The following is a 19,162-nucleotide window of genomic DNA, read 5'->3' on the forward strand; positions in this document are numbered from 1 at the left end:
AGTTTGGAGACCCCTTTGGATAGCAGTTTTTCAATGTGTATTAAGAACCCTCAAAGAGAACAAAAAACACCTAAACAGCCTTTAACTAGTAACTTTTTTCATTCTGAGAACTTGATTCCAACAAGAAAAATCCAAAAGAGGAAAAAGGCTTTAAGAAAAGACATCTTTAGAGACACTGTTGGTAATGTTAAAATGTCCGAATAACCCAAATGCTCAGCAACTAGAGAACAGTAACATGAATTGCGGTCGATGTTCTCCAGCCTTTGAAGCTAGAGGCTAAGAACACCACAAGAGAACACAAATATGCTGAGGAGGCAACGCTAAGTGAAAACCGGCGGGTGGCAGACTGCAGACACTGTCAACCCGGCATGTGCCAGACACAGGAGACTTTCCAATAGGAAGATAGAAATGCATGATAAACACAGATCTGATTTCTAACATAAAAATATACCTCTATCTTCTCCAAAGAATTCTCTTTCAAATATATGTTAGTATAACCTTTCTTAGTACTTAAGAGTTACTTCTAGGAATCTCCCTGAAGGACATGATTTCTCATTCAAACAGATTTAGGTGCAGGGATGCTTATTACAGTCTCATTCATTATGGTTAAACAACTGGAAATGCCTAGATATCCAGGAATAGGGGAATGATAAAGTATGCTTGAGCTATACAGTAAGACATTATATGACTATTGAAAAGTTTCTTGAAGAATTTTAACTGGGGAAATGATCATGACATAATGTTAAAAAATTACTACTACACGAAAGGTATATCAAATATCTAAGTATGTTATTTATATACAGAAACATGGTGAAAATATACCACAGTGGTAGAAGTTTAGGTTGTGAAGACATTTTTTTCCTTATACATTTCTGAATTGTTCCAAGTTAAAACAAAACAAAACACAAAACAAAAAAACCCCACATACTATTTTTTTTTTTTTTTTTAAAGCTCTGTCACCCAGGCTGGAGTGCAGTGGCATGATCAATGCTCACAGCAACCCTAAACTCCTGGGTTCAGGCAATCCTCCTGCCTCAGCCTCCTGAGTAGCTAGGACTACAGTTGCATGCCACCATGCCTGGCTAATTTTCAAAATTTTTTGTAGAGAGGGGGGTCTTGCCATGTTGCCCAGGCTGGTCTCAAACTCCTAGGCTCAAGTGATCTTCCTGCCTAGGACTCCCAAAGCGCTAGGAGTATAGGTGTGAGCCACTGTGCCAGGCCAAAACACATACTTCTTTACAATTGAAAAATAATGAAAGGAAAGACATAGTCTACTTTTTAATTGCCACCTCAAAGTTAACCCCAAATTTTCCAAAATTCTAAGTTCAAGTGGGTAGCGAGTTTGCCCTTCATGCAGCACACTTACCTGTGAGTGCTAGGGAGTGGCTGAGAGCTCGGGGGTGGGAGGAGAGGCCCACTGCAGTGCCCACCACAGTGCCCGCTGCAGGGGTGGCTGCACCCCGAGAATGGTGGGGGCATCTTCAGGAGCGGCATGCTGGTGGAGGGTAGATGGGAGCTCTGACATGGCCCTGGAGTGTGGGGGGCAGTGGCAGCAGCAACAGGGCACTCTGAAGCCTGGGCAGGGAAAGGTGCTGCCGGGGTGGTGGGCAGCAGGTGTGGGTGGGGTGGGGAGCCAAAGGAGCTGGGGTGAGACGGGATTAGAGATGCTGGCTGCGGGTGGTGGCCGGTGGGGCTGTTAGGGGGAGCAGTGAGGTCTGAGTGCTGGTGGTGCTCCGAGACGGGGAAAGCCTCACCTGTGGGCAGAGGGAGGAGAAAGGGGTCAGAATGGGAGCCCAGACCTGGGAAGGAAAGCCCACAGGCTCACTGCCACAGCATCCTGCTTCTGTGACAAGAGGGCACAGCCTCTCAGCACAGGGGACCCTGGAGCTGCAGAAGATTCTGTGTGGGCAGCAACACAGCTGAGCAGGCTCAAGGAGCCCAGGCCCAAGCAAGAAGGTACTAGGAATGCTGATTCCACACAAGGCCCCATGCCTTTTCTGCAGCATGAGCAGAAGATATGCATTCTGTCTCTGAGGGTCTCTCTAGGATCTGCTTGTACACAGGTGCTCCTCAGGCCTGGAGGATGATCTGCAGAAGCCAGTGGAGCAGCAGGCCCAGGCTCTGCCTCTGTGCCACGTGTACCACAGCAGCAGGGCATGCCAGACCCCTGAGGGCCCCAGATTTCAGACAAGTGGGAAAAAGGTTCTGATGACTCTCTAGCTTATGTACCAAAATTAATGGAATTATATACTGCTCAACACTCATAATTCTGGGAGCAGACCCACTTTGAAGAACTCAGCTCCTTCATTTAGAAGTATGACAGTAAATCATATTTACATAATAAACCAATAACCCAAGAGTTTTGTCTCTGGGTCTCTGAGAGTTATTTCAGGGTCAAAGAAGACTTACACAGCTGCTAAATTAGCTAATAACTATTACGGCTTACACTGCCAATCTCTTGGGCATTTAAATTCAGTGCTTTTATACCCATCCCTTAGGTGGGGAAATCAAGGCCTAGGAAGACAAGGTTGCCCAGGTCCTCTGTGGTGCTGCAGGGGTCAGGTGATCTAAGTCCTATGACTCCACTTTCTACTCAGACAGACCTCACCGGATGCCCTCTTGATCCAATGTGAACTACCAGAGCCAATGACAACTTTGAGAGGCAAACGTTTTTCTATTAGCAGTATTTTTCAAGTTCAGAGTTGTGGGGAAAGGAGTTCCAGAAATAGTCAAGGTCTAAGCTGCCCCTGCTTCCACCAGAACAGTTCCACTTTTACTTATTTTAGTAACCAGTCTTATGATTTGTTTGAACAAAGTGGATAGGAAAACACAGCTGTCCACATTTATAGGGCCTGGCTCTCTCCCGAGCCTGGAGACTCACCGGGGATGGTAGGAGGACTCCCAAGAGAGCTGCCTGGCATGGCCCCACTGGAATGTGGGGAATTCCAGAGGCCCGAGAGCTTATGTGCCGACAGGAACGAGCTAGGATCCCAGTCTCCCGAGTTCCCAGGGCAGGAAGAGGAGGACGAGGATGAGGATGATGAGGAGGAAGACGAGGACGAATGAGAGTCATCTCCACAAGACTGTGATTTGCAGGATGTGTGTGACAAGGAGATCTGGAGAAGGGGGAGGAAAAAGGCTCACGGTCAAACAGCAAACATCGGAGCTGACCCTCTGCTGCCTCAGCTTTTCCTGAGGGAGCTCCTTCTCCTCCAGACCATGTGCCATAGCAAAAACACAATTAATACAACTCCAGCTATAAGAACAAATGAGGGCCAGGCCTTTGCTGGGAAAGGGCTGCGGTGGTCCCACTTACATGCAATGTGTGGAGACTGGGGAGAGAGACTCTGGTAGGGGCAGAGACTGCCTGTGAACTGCGGGCCTTTGGGGAGTAGAGAGCGGCCAATGACAGGAAGGGCCTTTTGACCAGGAGTCCTGAAGCTAAACTGTTCCTGGGTAAAAGGGAAGATCTGCAGCGACGTGAGAAATGAGGAAAGTCTGGCCATCGTGATTCATGAAACAGCAGACTTAGATGACTCCCAAGTGTCTGTCCTTCTAACTAGGGCACATTTCAGACCCTCAAACTCATCTCTGTCTCCCATGTCATACTGGTTGGCTTTCAAGCTGCCACAGAGCCGAAGGCAGCAGGCTCGTGATCTACCAGTACCTATGAGTGGGCCCTCATCCTGTGCACAGACCACCCTGAGGGACTGACCGGTGGGCTGCCAGAAGTTTCTCTTCTTCCCCCAAATCTGAACTTGAGCTGCCAATGCTGTGCCAGTGCAGCCCAGAAGTCTCTCAGTGCCTGGGCATGGGAGCTGCCCAAGGAGAGCCACCTGAGGACAGGGAACAGCCTGACTTCCTTGGGGAGGAGCCCTCCTGCATTCAGGGACCCCTGTCAGCGGTTACCTACCGCCACTGCATGTTCTCGACCTGTCTGCCTTTCATCTTCCTCCATGCTCTTTCGGCAACTCTGGCAGACCCACAGAGGCATCTCGCCTAGGAGATTCTTGACGAGCTTTGGCATGAAGTCAGGGGGCAGCTTCTCACCCTGCAACACCAGTCCATTTTGAGAAGGGCCTTCTTCCCAGCCTTTGCGTTCCCGGTGACACAGCAGGCAGCAAGTCTGCACAGGCTGGCTGGAGGCGGGGGGGACCTGTCCAACAGACAGAAACAGGGTTTCCCAGGAGGGGAAAGGCTCTCCTTCAAAATAATAGTAACAATATTAGTAATGCCACTTATTACGTGCCAGGCACTGGGTTAGGCACTTTTTAGACATAATTAAAATTTAGTCCTTGTAACAGCTCTGCAAACGAGGTGTTCTTATTCCCATTTTTTAAGATGAAGAAACAGATTTCAAGAAGTTAAATGAGTTGCCCAAGGTTAAAAGCTAGCGAGTGGTTGAACCCTAGTGAGTCTGGCTCCAAAACTCATGCTCAAATATCCTAATTCTCTGACATCCCCAAATCTTAAAGGTTAAAGAGAAGATGGCCCTTCCCTCTCTGGCATGGCTGGGAGTGTCCACAATTCTTGGGCTGCCTGTACAGCCCAGGGACCAATGCCCATCTGGAAGGAAAGAATGCTTTTAGTCAGTGGACAGTTTAGGAGAATGTGTGGGTTTTCTGAAGAATTGCACAATTCCCTTAGGATCGCAGCAACATTTTGGAGGAGGCGTTTGTACAGCTAGTCAGAAAGCATCAACTCAATGGGAAATTGTGTCAGAGGGAAGGTAAGGCTCTGGTTGGTGCTCCTGAGAGGTAGTGAGTATGGTGAAAACAGTCTGGGCTTTGAAATCAAACAGATATGCATTCTAATTCCTGCCTGAACACATACTGGCTGGGTGACCTTGAGCAAGTTATTTAACTTCTCTGGGCTCCAATTCCTACCTACCTTGCAGAGTTGTTGTAAGGATCATCACTGCGTAGCAGGTAAAGTGTCTACCCTGTGTATGCCCATAGCATAGGCCCAATACAGTCATTATTTGGACTTTTTTTTTTGCCTTCTGTGACAAACTTGCTTAGAAATATAACTCAGGCCGGGCGCGGTAGCTCATGCCTGTAATCCCAGCACTTTGGGAGGTCCAGGTGGGCGGATCACGAGGTCAGGAGATCGAAACCATCCTGGCTAACACAGTGAAACCCCGTCTCCACTAAAAACACAAAAAAATTAGCTGGGCATGGTGGCAAGCACCTGTAGTCCCAGCTACTCGGGAGGCTGGGGCAGGAGAATCGCTTGAACCTGGGAGGCGGAGCTTGCAGTGAGCCAAGATCGCGCCACTGCACTCCAGCCTGGGCGACAGAGCGAGACTCCGTCTCAAAAAAAAAAAAAAAAAAAGAAAAACAAATATAAGTCTGTAGGTTTGCTTTCACATTGAGGGGTCCTGACTGGGAGACTGATTACATTTAATGCCTCCAATTAATAGCTTCCTATATCCTACAACTTTGTATCTGCCCCCACTCTGACACTGGGCTTGACTATGTCACTTTGGCCAATGGGATGTTAGCAAATAGGCTGCCAGCCATAAACCTGAAAGGTGTGTATACATTTCCACTTGTTTCCATGCACGGCTGGGCTTGCTCACTCCTGAACCTCTGCCATGGCCTGAGAGCGAGACCAGGCTAGCTGCTGGAGGGATGTGAGAGACTTGTGGAGAAAGCAAAGTCTTCCCAGCTGATTGGCCAGCTGATCAGAGAAACATGAGTGAGCCCAGCCGAGAGCAGACTCATGAGAGATAGAAAGTGGTATTGTTTTAAACCACTAGGTTTTGGAGGTGGTTTGTTATGCAATGGTAGTTAACTGACATACCTTCCAAACTTACCCAACACTGGGTAACATGTGTCTGCAGAGGCCTACGGGAATAATAAGGGTATCACCCTCATCCTACCAATAAGATAATGCCATCATTTTTCTCCCGTGAAATTACTTTCTCATAATGAGTTAGCATTAGGGTATCCTTAAACCTCTAATGTTACCATTACACTGACTTGGGTCCTTGGTTTCTCAAAAAAGAAAGGAACCAAACAGTAGTACCAGAAGCATAATGAAACTTTCGGAAGTACAAGGAACTTAGAAAAAGAGTACCAGAGAGACAGAAATTTTACATGTGGAACTCACAAAAGATACAGCCTAAATCAGTGTCTGCCAAGGGAACATTTCAATGAGCAAGACAGTTGTTTAATGGCAACTGCAGGGGTGGAAGGTGGATAGAGAAGGATGGTATTCAGAGAAATTAAGGCAAAGAGGAAACTTTCCATAGCTACGAAGTGCCACAGTAACTCTAGATAGAGTCCCTTTTCCTGCCATGATGATGACCACAAGGCGAGCACCAAGACATGTAATTTTACTACAACGGTTTCATTTCATTTGCATGCTAGGTTCGAAAGTCAGTACATACAATTAAAATCTTGTATAGTTATTCTCGAAATTCTTTTTTTTTTCTTCTTTTGAGACGGAGTCTCGCTCTGTCGCCCAGGCTGGAGTGCAGTGGTACGATCTCGGCTCACTGCAAGCTCCGCCTCCCAGGTTCACGCCATTCTCCTGCCTCAGCCTCCCGAGTAGCCGGGACTACAGGTGCCCGCCACCACGCCCGGCTAATTTTTTTGTATTTTTAGTGGAGACGGGGTTTCACGGTGTTAGCCAGGATGGTCTCAATCTCCTGACCTCGTGATCCGCCCGCCTCGGCCTCCCAAAGTACTAGGATTACAGGCGTGAGCCACTGTGCCCAGCCTGAAATTCTTTATGTGGCCTATAAAGCACAATATACAGTCATCCCTTAGTACTCATGGGGGATCAGTTCCAGGACACCCCCCAGATACCAAAATCTGCAGATGCTCCAATCTCTGATATAAAATGGTGTCATATTTGTATATAACCAATGCACACCCTCCCACAATCTCCAGATTACTTATATTTAATACAGTGTAAATGCTATGTAAATAGCTGCTATACCGTATTGTTTAGGGAATAATGACGAGGCAAAAAGTCTATACTTGTTCAGTATAGACACAACCATCCTTTTCTTTCCTTGAATATTTTCTATCCACAATTGGTTGAATCCACAGATGTGGAGGAATGACTGTATATGGTTTTGTAGTTATAACCGACAATTCAAATGTGTAATAAAACGTATGATACGTGTGTTTTCTGTTTTTAAAAGCAAATACACAATTCTTATAAATTAAGTGTGTAATCAGTGTGACTGCACTTAGTGCCAAAGTACTTGTGGAAGGCACTGGGGCGCAGTGGAAACAACACTGGCTTTGGCATTAATCCTGGCCTCTATCACTTACCAGCTGTAAGATGCTGGGCTAGTTCTACTTACCCTCTCTGTTTGCTCATCTGTAAAATGGGATTAAGTCCTAATTTGTAGGGTCAGCTGTGAGAAATAAATGTGACAAAGCACCTAGTCCAGTGCTAGGCACATAGATGTTGCTGAACACATGGTATTCATCATTAACACGACAGGAACAATAGGAAACAATAAATGGTCACTGCATTTTACACAAACGTGAGTCTCTCATATATGATGAATCTAAACTGACTTGTTAGAAATCTTAATCTCTCCCCTCAACCCCATGAAGTCATTCCCTAAGTTCCCAAAATAATCTCTGCCTTTTTCTATTTCATGCTTTCGCTAAAGGTGATTCCTTGCTTAAAACCCACTTTCTTCTCATGTTTTTCCAATGACTAGCTGAGACTAAAGGCTCAATTTAAGTCCAACCTCCTCTAGGCTTTCTCCTCTCGTAATTCACTTCTCCTCTCCCATCTCCTCCTAGTACACTGTGCCTTGGTTACAGTAGTTGTGTCTTCTGCACAATTTATTTTCCTGTATCTTCCATCCCTTCTACAAGAGGCAGGTGCCAGGTCTGATTCCTGTCTGGATCCCTCACAGTGCAGCACAGGGCCTGGCTTCAGGCATGGACTCAGTGGGCCATGTGGTAGAGAACTCAGATTTGCTAGGTGTCCCCATGGCAATGCAGCCGGCAGGCAGTCCAATGAGACACTGCTTGAAATTACTGCTGCCTACAGAGAAAGGCCCATCTGTCCACCTGACCTCCAGAATGGTTCCAATCTTAACCGCGTTAAGAGTAAAAGACTGCATTCTTTAGGGATTATAATGAGATGCCCCCAGTTAATGGAAATAATGTGACTCTCCCGAGAGCCAAAATGGTACACAAAATAAATGAGATTAGCCATCACTAGAAGTGACTTTACAGGATAGGTTGTCTTCCTAGTTAAAGCAAGAAACACAGGGCCTGAAAAGCTAATTAAGCTCTAATTGAAGCTGCCCACAGAACTGAGTGATGATACCACCCATGCTGCATAAAGCTGCCCACAGGATTAAGTCACATTAGAGATACAAAGCACTTAGCTCAAGGGATCCAGGCTGCAGGCACTCAATCTATTATCTAAGCCCCTTGGCTGTTCTGTTCTAAGTCTACATTGAAGACTAGTTTATCCACTGTCCTCTCTGAGTTTGGTACACTTGAGTCCTTCTTTGAGGCCCAGGCAGTTTGAGGGGCCACCCCTAAAGCTGATGTCTGAACTCTAGGCCATGGCGCCTGCCCCTAGGTATGATGCCTTGTGGAACTGGGAACTTTCCTCTGCTACTTTCATCTCCACTTTAATTGCTAGAGGGTGATAAGAATCCCAAGCCCTAGAGATGTTATATTTATAGTCAGTAATGCCACTGGTTCCTTCAAATTTTTGCTTTGGCAGAGAACAGCTCTTGGTTCAGAGTTCCCTTTGACTGTGATCTGCTGCCATTTCCCAAATTCTGGCATTCATGACCCCTTATGCCCTGAAAAGTCGGTCAACCCAGACTTTCAATCAGCTGCTCCCAAGCTGTACTTTTAGCACCTGGCACAGTATTCCTACACAAAGAAGAGATCAGTAAATGTTCATCCAATGAATGAAAACTCCAACCATTTTTCTTCATCACAAAGGCTGATGGAACTGATTCTTGAATCCAGCAGCCCTGGGCAGCAGCCCATTGTTCCTGCTCACCTCAGTTTAAATTTCAGAGCCTCTGAGGATGCAGGTCTAGCCTTAGGCAAAAGATGAGGGAAGAAAAGTTCTGGGGGTTCTACTGATTTGGGATCTCCTCAAAAAAGCTCCAAGATAATTTTTCTTCACTCTAAGCATAACCAGAATCTCTGGAGAGTGTGAGATTACTCACAAGGGATCCATGCTGTAGCATGCACATCCCCAGAGCAGTGAAGGGGCCAAGTGAGCTCTAGGTGCACTCTAGGGCCTAGGGGGCTGGCATCTGTAGCCATTAAAACCATTATCTCTGCTCCCTTACCAGATCAGGCCCAAGACTTTTTTGTCTTGGCCTGAGAAGCATTAAGTTAGGGCATTCTAGTTTTTCCTGGATAAAAGAGAGATAAAATCAAAGGAAGAGGAAGCCACTTTTTTTCATGGAACACCATTTTTTAACTGAAAGAATGACTTACTATTTAGACTTGGGTATTGGCAGACATTTTCTCAAAAAAATGAACAATGAATAAAATGAGCCTGTCACTTCAAGGAAAACAACTGACAGTATTTGTGGGCAATGATATAAAATGCAAGCTTTCAAGTGAAAATTAAAATTCTGAAACTTGCATCTACCACCATGAGTTTGACAGCTTCCAAATACTTGAAGACTTTTCTGATGAAATTGGTGGTGATATTAACAAATGTTATCTTTTGGCATTGTAAAATGAAATGGAAAACATTTGGAAGATGTGCAAAATCCAGTGAGCCTATTTTCCAAATGACCAAAGCATGATGGATTCAAAGCACTGGCTCGACCAATAGATTTTAGTGTAAATGAGTATGAAGACTTCACTGATATGGGCTCAAATTCAATAATGGAAATTATTTGGAAAGGCTACTGAAACATTCCTCCCTTTCTCACTTACATATTTGTGTGAGGTTGGATTTTTTTTCATATACTTCAACCAAAACAATGTATTGCAAAAGACTGAATACAGAAGCATATATGAGAAGCCAGCTTTAGTCTATTAAGCCAGATGAAAAGAAATTTGCAAAAATGAAAAGAAGACCATTCTTCTAATTTTTTTTTTAAGATGAAATCTCGCTCTGTCATCCAGGCTGGAGTGCAGTGGCATGATCTCAGCTCACTGCAACCTCCACCTCCCATGTTCAAGCGGTTCTCCTGCCTCAGCCTCCCAAGTGGCTAGGATTACAGGCGCCTGCCAATACGCCTGACTAATTTTTATATTTTTAGTAGAGACAGGGTTTCACCATGTTGGCCATGCCGGTCTTGAACTCCTGACCTCAAGTGATCCGCCTGCCTCAGCCTCTCAAAGTGCTGGCATTACAGGCATGAGCCACCACACCTGGCCATTCTTCTAATTTTGTTTTGGAAAATATAGTTTTCATTAAAAATTGTTATGTTAACAAGATAGCTTTAATATTGTCTTTCTTAAATAAATTAGTGACAAAATATTTTAAAGCTTTCTCAGCTTTAATATTTAATTTGGTAAGTATCAATAGATATAAACAACACAAACAAAAGCTCTTTGGGTTCCTCAATAATTTTTAGGAATATATAAGGTCTCCTGAGGTTGGAGGATTGCTCAAGCCCAAGTGACGGAGGTTGCAGTGAGCCAAGATTGCACCATTGTACTCCAAACTGGGTAACAGTGAGAGCCTGTCTCAAAAAAAAAAAAAAAAAAAGATAGCTCTCTGGGGGCATGACTCAATTTTCTAGCTTGGCCTTTCTGTCCACAATTTGGGAATAACCCATTGCCAGACCAGACAGCTGTCAAGGACTACTCTGAAGCTGGATTGAATTTCCAGCACTCAGCGTGGCCTCATTCATCCCATGGATTCTTTTTCATCTCCAGAGTTTGTGTATGTTCGTACAGGATTGCCCCAAGACACATGCTGTATCTAACCAGCTGCCCTGCAACAGGTCCCAAATTCTATTTTGAAATGGCCCATTAGAGCACTCTACTCTCAAGGCACCCAACTCCAAGAGCCTCTCTGTCACCAAGGCAGGCAGAGGACAACACCAGCAGCTAAAATTCCCTTTCAGAAGCAGAGAAAATGATTAATCCTCAGCCTAGAAAAACTCATTGTCATAGTTATCATCAGTCACTCTTCCATTCACCCATTTATTCCCTCATTCAACATTGTCAGAGTCCCTGTCTCCTGCCAATTGTGCTAAGTGCCGGGAAACATCTACCCTTGACAATTCCTATTCATTCCCTAAGATTCTGGTCAAAGGTCAATGAAGCTCTTGCTGGTCAAGCTAAGCACAACTGATTCTATTTAGTATAGCATCATCAAAATGTGCCACAGATGTATTCTGTCTGTTCCTAAATTCCTGGTAGAATGTGAGCCCTCTGGGGGCAGTGTGTGGACCTTGGTCATTTAAGTATGCCCAGGAACCTAGGCTTGGCTTGGGCCTGACACATTGCAGGCATTCACTGAATAAATAAATGAAAGCTTAAAGCCCATCTGGCTCATGTCTCAGCTGTTCAACACAAAGGCAGAATTTAAAACAGAGCCAAAACAGTGCATTTCCCAACATGCTATGAGTCACTCTGAGCCACTGATGAGAGGGCAATCAGTGAGAAGAATCTCAGACTATTCTAATGCTGACAATCAGAGCTGCAGTTAATTCTAAGAGAGCTGACACAACCCCACCTCAGTGCCCTGGAGCTGTTACCCAAACTTCCATGCAGGCTGTGGGCTCAGGCCCTTCCAGGAGGTAGAACAGCTGTTTCACACTACGAGACTAGTCAGTGGAGAATCCTTTCTGGTTGTACAAGCTCGGTTGGGAGTGAGTCTCTCTGATCCTAGTGACCTTAACCCTAAAACTTTCTGTTTTAATATCCCCACAAGGCTAGCTCATCCGCTGAACTGCCTCCTGGGTGCAATGAGCCACAAGGAGGGCCCAAGCCGCAGATTTACCTGAATCCTCAGGTCAAACTGCCACTCTGCTACTCTAACCCCAGCACACGTTACTCATGGAGGAGGAAGAGCATGAATTTTGGGGACGAGACACACAGTTGTGAGTTCAAATCCCAGTTGCCATTTTCAATATGATCTTGGAATATTACTCAATTTCTTTGAGCCTCAATTTCCTCATTTATGAAATGGGAATAAAACCATATTTTACAGAGTTGTGAGGACAGAAGGAAATAAATTATGTAAAGTACCTGGCCTGGGCCTGGCACAAAGTAGGTGCTCAATACCCGTTAGTTTCTTTCCTCTTCTGCCCTGGAAGAAATGACAGGGAAACTTACTAAGTGAGACTTGCCCAAACCAAATTTATTTCTTTTTTTTTTTTTTTTGAGACGGAGTTTCGCTCTGTCGCCCAGGCTGGAGTGCAGTGGCGCGATCTCGACTCACTGCAAGCTCCGCCTCCCGGGTTCACGCCATTCTCCTGCCTCAGCCTCCTGTGTAGCTGGGACTACAGGCACGCGCCACCATGCCCGGCTAATTTTTGTATTTTTTAGTAGAGACGGGGTTTCACCGTGTTAGCCAGGATGGTCTCGATCTCCTGACCTCGTGATCCTCCCGTCTCGGCCTCCCAAAGTGCTGGGATTACAGGCGTGAGCCACCGCGCCCGGCCCCAAATTTATTTCTTGAAGCAAAGGACAGAAGGACTAGACAAGTGACTTCAAGGCCTCTTTGAACCCCCAGCTCCTTGTTTTCTGGCTATAACTTCCTAATAAAACCTTCAGTGTTTGCAGTTCCACCAGCCCCTTCTTTCTGCTTTAGTTTCCCTACATCATTTTTCACAGTAGATAGATCTACTCGTAGCTACCACTTGTGCTAAGCATCCTAAGCATGGAGGGGGAAATAATAAAGGGAGCTAAGGGCCTTTGGTGGAGAATGAAGGGGAGATGGACTGCAGCATGTTGGCCCACAGGCTGCACAACCATGCAGCTGCTGTGCTGGGAGCCACCCAGAGTCTGAAGGATGAAGGCAGGCTCACAGGCACAGAACCGAAGGCACACACACAGGGCCCTTCCCAAGACATAGCATGCCTCTCCTCAGTCCTTCTCTGCTTCTGCACATCCTGCCAAGAAGGACCAAATACATAAAGTAGTCACACCTTCCCATATGCTGTTCCTTCTGCCTTTTTCTTCTCTTTTTTTTAGGCTCGATCTGGGTGTTACATCCTCTTAAGTCCACAGGAAGAATGAACTTGGCTTTGCTCTAGGATATCCTAACACTCTTTTGTTTAAAAACGTATCTCTAGAATAGAGCTTATCATATATATTCTAGTGGTTGAAATCTGTCCTTTCCACAATACTGTGAGCTTTTCAAGGGCAGAGCCTGTGTCCCACAAGTCACTGTATTGCAGTCATTCAGCAGAAGCTGTAGCACAGAGTAGGCACAGGTAAGTGTTTGGATACACAATGGAAGATTATACACAATGGAAGTTGGCAAATATCATTAATAGATCAGAACTGGGGGAAGGTTTTTTGTTCTGTTTTAAACTAAGGTTGTTTCTGTTCTTGTTTATGGAAAAGCTCCTCCCTGGGAAACCCACTGTTTGAAGAATACCCTAGGTCTCCTCAAAGATCCCCCTGGCACCCTCAATTCAGCAGCTCCCAGACCCAGTCACATGTCAGAGTCACTTGGGAACAATTCAACAATAGATACCTGGGATCCAGACCTGGAGACTGACTCTGTAAGTCTGGGATAGGGTCCAGCAAAGCACAGGGGATCTGATGATTATTAGCTTGGGGCAAGGGAGAGGTGGAATCAAGCAATCACAGCTGTCTCTCCCACTGAGAATTACTTCCTCACATGCTATCAGAGAATGTATTGAAGCACATCACGTTCTCTTTCCTGCTTAAAACCTTTCATTGATTCTTCACCACCTACAGGATAAAGCCTAAACCTCTTGGTGTGGTTTTCAAGAACCCTGCTAGCCCCTTCAGCCGGATCTCTCCCGACTCTCCAAATGAGTGGTGCTCGCCCTGGGTCTTTGTACAAGTTCCTTCCTTTGTTTAGACTCCTTTCTACCACCTTGTCCTCTGGAGAACTTCTACACAACCTTGAAGACTCAGCTCTGAGAAGCATTCTCTGACCCATCTTCCTCTAGGTTATGTCTTGGGCAACCCTGACACCAAATATCTACAATACTCAGAGCTACCACTTGTGTTAAGCATACCGCACTTGTTGGACCCTAACATTAACCATGTAAGACTGGATTGTCTTTTCTTTTTTTTTTTTTTTTTTTTTTGAGAAAGGAGTCTCGCTCTGTCGCCCAGGCTGGAGTGCAGTGGCGCGATCTTGGCTCACTGCAAGCTCCACCTCCCAGGTTCACGCCATTCTCCTGCCTCAGCCTCCAAAGTAGCTGGGACTATAGGTGCCCGCCACCATGCCCGGCTAATTTTTTTGTATTTTTAGTAGAGACAGGGTTTCACCGTGTTAGCCAGGATGGTCTCGATCTCCTGACCTCGTGATCCTCCCGCCTCGGCCTCCCAAAGTGCTGGGATTACAGGCATGAGCCACCGCGCCCAGCCTGGATTGTCATTTTATACATGAGAAAACAAACCAAGAGGCTGAAACACTTGCAAAGGCCACTTAATAGGGTCCAGGATTTGAACCTTTATTCAGAGGAAGCCGATGCTATATCTCCTTCTAGCATTACTGCAATTACTATACACACGTTCTCTAGACTATGAGCCCCTTGTGGGAAGGGACTATGTCTGATTCACTTCTGCATGCGCAGCTAGCCCAGGCCTGGCACAGAGCTGGGATCGGTTAGTGTCTGCACAATAAATGCCATGTGAAATAAAACTGGGCATCACAGCATGCGAATGGCTGGCCTAAATGAATAACTGCCAGCCTGGCCCAGTTGTGGGGGCAGACAAGAACAAAGTGGTAGAATCCTTACTTATTATAATTTTTAACAGCCATGTATTGAGTATATAAGGTCCACACACAATATATTTCCCCCCAAATAAATTAAAACATAGACCCTGCTCTAAAAAATTCTAGATGAGGTAAGTAAAGGTGTTAGGATCATCCATCTGATATCAAAAATTAAAAATTTAAAACTCAGCTGGGTGTAGTGGCATGCACATGTAGTCCCAGCTATTTGGGAGGCTTAAGGAGAAGTATCACTTGAGTCCAGGAGTTTGAGGATAGCCTGGGCAACATAGCAAGATCCTATCTCTAAATTAAAAAAAAAAATTAAAATCCTAAGTGGGTAAGTCTTCATTTTCAAAGGTCTTTTGACATTTTTATATAGTGAGTCTCTACTGGCTTACAAAGAAGAACCAGAGGTGGCAAGGATCCCCTCAGTATCATTTCCTCCTACTGACAATGGAAGTAGTGCAGGCTGGGTAGGCACTGATTCTAAGGGGGAGGTCCCCAAAGATAGGAACTATCTTATCCATCTGTGCACCCCAAATAAAGGTCCTGGCACAGAGGTGGTTTTGGTATCTGCTGAGTGAATTAAACATAATGAGATGCTTTTATTAAAGATACTGACTAATCATCTGCTCCAATTTCTTGAGGGAACAGTGGAAGAATCGGATCTCTAGAGTCCCTTTAAACTAGACTGGGCAAAGTCCCAGAGGACAATGTGGAGGGAACAAGAGGTGGGGAAGGGTAGGATGAGTTCACCTCTCCTCACCAACTGCTGGCTTACATCCTAGCAAGTCTCCTGGGGGCTTATTGAGTGTACACTGGATTACAAACTCAGTGGTCCAAGAGAGATGAAAGACAGCTAGCAGAGCTAACAGGCCAGAACACTCAGGCTTTGTATGGCCACCTGGCACAGCTCCTGCCCCCTCTCTTAGGTGAGGCGCTTCTATGTACTAGCTGCTGCATAGGTTGCTTCTCTTGTGAAGTATTATTATTATTTTAAAAGGAGACGGTGTTTCCCTCTCTCCCCCAGGCTGGGGTGCAGTGGCGTGCACATGAAGTCCTGGGTAACTTAATTCCTGGGTTCAAGCAATCCTCCCGCCTCAGCATCCCAACTAGCTGAGACTATAGGTGTGAACCCATGCCCAGCTAAGTTTTGATTTTTTTTTTTTTATAGAACCAGAGATCTCACTATGTCACCAATGCTGGTCTCAAACTTCTGGCCTCAAGAGATCCTCCTGCCTCAGCCTCCCAAAGTGCCGGGATTACAGGCGTGAGCCACCAAGGCCTCTTGTGAAGTTCCTGATGGGGTCAGAGAGAAGCAACTTGCGGAGTCACAAAGCTAGGAGGCTAAGCTGGGAATTCAATCCAAGTCTCTAAACACTATTCCCCACTGCCTCCTACAATTGCTTTTTCAGTTGTTCTTTATTTTTTTTTTTGTTTGTTTTGTTTTCCTTTGCTAATAAGGTAGTAACTGTTTCAGCCTTCTTGTGCTATAAACGAGGATTTGGGTTGTTAGGAAACAGATCAATGTGGTTTAGTGGCCTGAAACAATTGAAAGCCATTTGGGATCCCAATTAAACTCAAGGTCCTGCTTTAAATGTGTACAGGTTATGCCAATGAGTGAAGGGGCCTGGAAAGAACCAAAGATGCCTAAGGAGCATACGCTGTCTAAAAGGGCCAAATGCTACTCAGAGACTACTGATTACTGCCTTGTGGAAAAGTGGACCCAGCATCACCATATCTTTAGTTTAAAAAAGAGCCCCAAATCCAAATGTGTGGGAAACCTTTTGATCTTTAAAATATTGGCTCAAATGAAAATAAAAACAGAAACAAAACAATATGTGAGCTGGGGCATTACAACAAGCCTGTGGACTGGAAGTGGTCTTATTTGCCACCTTTGGATTCAGTTTGGTATATGACACTGAGTTTCATCTTCCTTATCCACTCTGTAGATGTAAGACAGGGTTATGAGTGGCAATGGGAGCCAGAGTTCCTCACCAAAAACACGCTTGTAGGCAGAGCAATGACTGAACCCTACCCTTACACTAGGTGCTTTGCACCAGGGCACAAAAGCCTGCTTCCAGACCCCACCCCCGGTCAAAGTGGGGCATAACTAGAACCGAATTTACCAGTTTGTTTCCCTTCTTTGGGGCTATAGTTTAAAAAAAAATGCCTTGTTGAAAATCCCCCAAAGTACCTAAAAGTCCTTTTCTTTTCTTTTGTCTGACACCTACAGTTGGAGTCATTTGGGCAAATGTTTAGTTGCTCTGAGTTTCTGTTTCTTCATCTGAAAAATGGAGTAATGATAATTATATCCTCCAGTTTGTTGATCAATATTTGTTAACCACCAGGCACAGGGGTACAATGGTGACTGACATGGCTCCTGAACTCGCAGAGTTCACAAATAAAAACAAATAATCACATCAATGGTCAATTCATCATATTTGTGCTAAACGCTGCGGAGAAATACAGGTGAGGTGGGAAGATTAGAAGTAAGGTATGTAAAGTGCCTGGCACAAATAAATGAATCAGCAGGTCAAGTAGTGGAGTAGGTAAGAACATGGTAGGAACCTAGATGTCAAAGAAATTGATGAAGCTTAGAGCTCTTGGCAAAGTTGTGTCCTTAATAAAAACTGAATGGTTGAGCCATCATCCAAGCTTTTTGGCATCTCTATGTGGCAGAGACCCTGAAGTATTCTATGGTCTGCTGAATGGGAAGAAGAGAAGACAACAGCTTTCCAGCTCTCCCTTCTCCCACTCTCCCTTTTTGGATAACAGCACTCCCACGGGGGTCCCAGAGTAGGCTGGTGGGGGAAGCAGCTTTGGGGTTGGAAGCTAGACCCAGTAGGGGTTGGGGGTCCAACCTGGGGAGTCTCCTACGGAAGTGTCAGCCTAGGATAGGAGATGGGGATGCGGATGAAGGTGGAGCTTCTGACACTCAGTAAGTGCTGACATTTTCATTAATTAAAAACCTTATTGTGATCTGAGACACAAAGGAAATCAGCATGAAAACTGGGTTACAATAAGCACGGGTTCTGGACCGATTCATTTTCTCTCTCATTCACCTAGTTATTTTTATTCTGTGTTAGCAAGGCCCTGGGCGAGGCGTGGAAGATCAGAGAAAGATGGCATAGCCTGTGTCCCTGTGGAGTTCACAGTCCAGGGCAGGCAACAGACATATCAACACAATGTTTCATCACAGAAAGGGGAGTGCTACCAGAGGGAGGCACAGAGGGCTGTGGGCACAGAGAGGGCACCTGACGCAACTGGGGAGGTCAGGGGAGGCTTTGTGGGAAGGTACCCCAAACGGCAACCCCACTCACATGCACAATTCCAGAGATTCTACTAGAAGGCTGTCAAGAGCCATGCCTTCTGGCTGCACCAGCCTCCCAGAGTCCCCTGCTGCCCGATGCAGTGTCTGCAGAGCCAAACGCATCTTCCGCCACGCCTCATCCTCATCCGGCGCCGCATCCGACCCTCCAAGACTCCTGCAGGAGCCTGCCTTCCTGGGCAGGCTCAGCCAAAAGACCAACTCAAAACTCTTTTGTCAGAGCAAGCTTAGGGAGAGCCACCCAGCCCCGAGTGCCACAACCCTCCCAGAGCAACCGTGGCCCATGTCACCCCCGCCTCTCAGTGAACTTTGGCAGGGTACCTCCCGTTATCTCCTTTGCTCAAAAGAAAGTGACCTTCTTCCAGGTGGCAAGCTGGAAGCTTTGGGGAATCCTCCTACTGTTCGCTCTCAGCAGGATTCTCCAAACCTGGGATCTCAAGGTCGGGGTGGGCTGCCTTGCGGAGCAGGGGAGGGAAGAAGGGCAGGTTCTGCTGGGTTTCCACCTCAGTGCAGAAACCCCACCAAAAACTCCTCCGGGCAGCCTGGCTGTCTGCTCCAACTGCTCTGCTGGGTATGGCGAGGAGGCGCCAGGAGACACAGCTGCTGAGGGGGCCGCGGCTGCAGGCGCTGCAGGGGACGGAGTGGAGCCGTTCCCGGGGGCAGAGGGAAGAGGCTGCAGTCGTCCAGTCCCAGAGCCCCGAGATGGCCTGTGGCTGAGGGAGCAGGTGGGCCCGGGGGAGGTGGCGGGCCGAGAGCGGAGCTGCGGCCTCGGGATCACAGCCCAGTCCCAGTCCCAGTCCCAGTGTGGGTGTACGGCCGGAACGCCCGGAGGCGGCGGGGAGAGGGGAGCAGCTTCAGCCTAGTCGCAGGAGCGCGGACCGAGCCTCGGCTTTGGGGAGAGGGGTCCAGCCTCCATTCCCGCCCCGGGGGAGAAAGCTTCGGCGCCGGACCCGGGGGAAGGCTGCTACCCCAGCCGCG

At 46.5% G+C, this 19,162-nt stretch overlaps 1 protein-coding gene across 20 annotated transcripts in view, besides 1 other annotated feature; it reads right to left on the reverse strand.

Moving 5' to 3' along the window:
* FAM193B (family with sequence similarity 193 member B) overlaps window positions 1-19,162 on the reverse strand; it is a 34,776-nt gene that overhangs the window by 15,204 nt on the left and 410 nt on the right. For 7 of the 20 annotated variants that reach the window (XR_007058608.1, XR_427804.3, XR_007058607.1 and 4 more), the window contains exons 2-4: window positions 3,914-4,156; window positions 2,882-3,116; window positions 1,367-1,754 (exon numbers count right to left, since the gene is read on the reverse strand). Coding sequence is in view for 15 of the 20 variants with exons in the window: in NM_001190946.3 (NP_001177875.1) it covers window positions 1,367-1,754; window positions 2,882-3,116; window positions 3,914-4,156 (866 nt within the window). In the remaining 5 variants the exon portion in view is untranslated. Of the gene's footprint in view, window positions 1-1,366; window positions 1,755-2,881; window positions 3,117-3,316; window positions 3,871-3,913; window positions 4,157-12,176; window positions 12,238-17,050; window positions 17,141-18,176; window positions 19,105-19,162 lie in introns of those variants that run through there. The other 13 variants (XM_047417327.1, XM_011534573.2, XM_047417331.1 and 10 more) reach the window with 11 other exon arrangements.
* Window positions 18,741-18,850: a silencer, noted in NCBI's record as "silent region_16702". NCBI's record gives its function as "represses an Ori minimal core promoter by ATAC-STARR-seq in GM12878 lymphoblastoid cells {active_cell/tissue: GM12878}" and the evidence as "EXISTENCE:reporter gene assay evidence [ECO:0000049][PMID:35858748]".

This window comes from Homo sapiens, chromosome 5, assembly GCF_000001405.40.
Source record: "Homo sapiens chromosome 5, GRCh38.p14 Primary Assembly".
Lineage (NCBI taxonomy): Eukaryota > Metazoa > Chordata > Mammalia > Primates > Hominidae > Homo > Homo sapiens.